Consider the following 1,616-nt stretch of genomic DNA (forward strand, 5'->3'; position numbering starts at 1 on the left):
ATCAACTGAAATGCCATGGTCTCTGTTAATTGATTTTGTTTGTGCAGCAGTCAGGAGGAACCTGTCAGGAGGTTACACTGTGCATGCACATGTGTGTGTGTGTGTGTGTGTGCGCGCGCACACGCACATACATGTTGCAGAGGTGTTTCTGGCAAATGCTTGTCATTCCTAAGCAGGAGATACCAGAACAGAAGTTTATTCCTGCCTCTGCCTGCTGCTACCTCTGAACTTCTGCTAAGGTGACTGAGGCTCTTTTCTTACTTGCAGCCAAAGATGCCCTAGTTGATACTGAGATCATTACCTGCTTTTTTAGATTAGTCACTCTAAATCTTCCTCATTTGATTCCAGGCAAATCAGACATTTTAAATTTCTCCAACTTATTTTTTTTCTCTCCCTCTCACCTCAGGACCTTTGCATGTGCTTTGCCCTTTACCCATAATATTCTCCACCCTCCTTCACCCACTTTACTACTCAGCAGCTATTCATTTCCTCAAAGAAAGAGTCCATATACTCCTCAGACTGAGTCAGGCTTCCTCTTCCTTTCTCTCTGAGACAGAGCAGGGATCCCCTCTTAGGGGCCTGCTGGGCTCCCCCATCCCTTCAGTGTAGAAATAAAAGATTTTGAGTTCTTCAAAAGAAATTCCAGGCACTCAGCCCCACAACCAGCAAGTAGGCGACTGAATGAATGACCTGCTAAAGATAACAATGACTTAAACAATAGCCACTCAAGTATGCCAGGGTCACAAGACGTTTGGTTCCCTGTAGAAACTAAAGATAACATTTTGACAAATGTCCTTGAGTTGTTTTTCAGAAACGAGGACCCCCAACTGATGGAAAATGCCAATGGCTGTCACACAGACCTAAGACAGACTGGAACCAGAAAATAGATAAGGAAGTTTCAGAAATTCCTTAGCCCCTAACTCACTTCGGAAGACCCCTCACTGCTGCCTTTGAAAATCCTTGCTTGTAAGCCATCAGGGAGTTCAGGTCTGAAGCATTAGCTGCCTGTCCTCCTTGCTTGGTGTCCTGCAATAAATGGCTTTCTCTCTCACCGCAAATCCCAGTGTCAGAGTTTGCCTTTTTCTGCACGCTGGAAGAGTAGATCCAAGTCTGGTTCAGTAACATCTAGTACCCTGTACAGTTCTTCATACCCCAATATCATATCTACGTTTTGAGACAGGAGATTGCATTTCAGAGCATATAAGCCTTATTCAGCCTGCGATTGTGCATATAAAGGGTTGTGTCCTGGCCGGGCGTGGTGGCTCATGCCTAATCCCAGCACTTTGGGAGGCCGAGGTGGGTGGATCATTTGAGGTCAGGAGTTTCAAAACAGCCTGACCAACATGCTCAAACCCCGCCTCTACTAAAAATACAAAAAAAAAAAAAAAAATGAGCCAGGCATGGTGGCGCATGCCTGTAGTCCCAGCTACTCGGGAGGCTGAGGCAGGAGAATCGCTTGAACCCAGGAGATGGAGGTTGCAGTGAGCCAAGATCATGCCATTGCACTCCAGCCTGGGTGACAGAGTGAGACTCTGTCTCAAAAAAAAAAAAAAAAAAAAAAAGAGTTGTGTCCTTTGGGTGAACCATAATGTGTCCAGCGAGATTATGTTCTCTTC

At 45.5% G+C, this 1,616-nt stretch overlaps 1 annotated feature.

The window, feature by feature from the left end:
* Positions 417 to 1,087: an enhancer, noted in NCBI's record as "NANOG hESC enhancer chr11:92806893-92807563 (GRCh37/hg19 assembly coordinates)". NCBI's record gives its function as "activates a minimal SCP1, AML or CMV promoter by ChIP-STARR-seq in naive H9 embryonic stem cells {active_cell/tissue: H9 hESC(naive)}" and the evidence as "EXISTENCE:reporter gene assay evidence [ECO:0000049][PMID:30033119]".

The sequence above is a fragment of the Homo sapiens genome, chromosome 11 (assembly GCF_000001405.40).
Source record: "Homo sapiens chromosome 11, GRCh38.p14 Primary Assembly".
Lineage (NCBI taxonomy): Eukaryota > Metazoa > Chordata > Mammalia > Primates > Hominidae > Homo > Homo sapiens.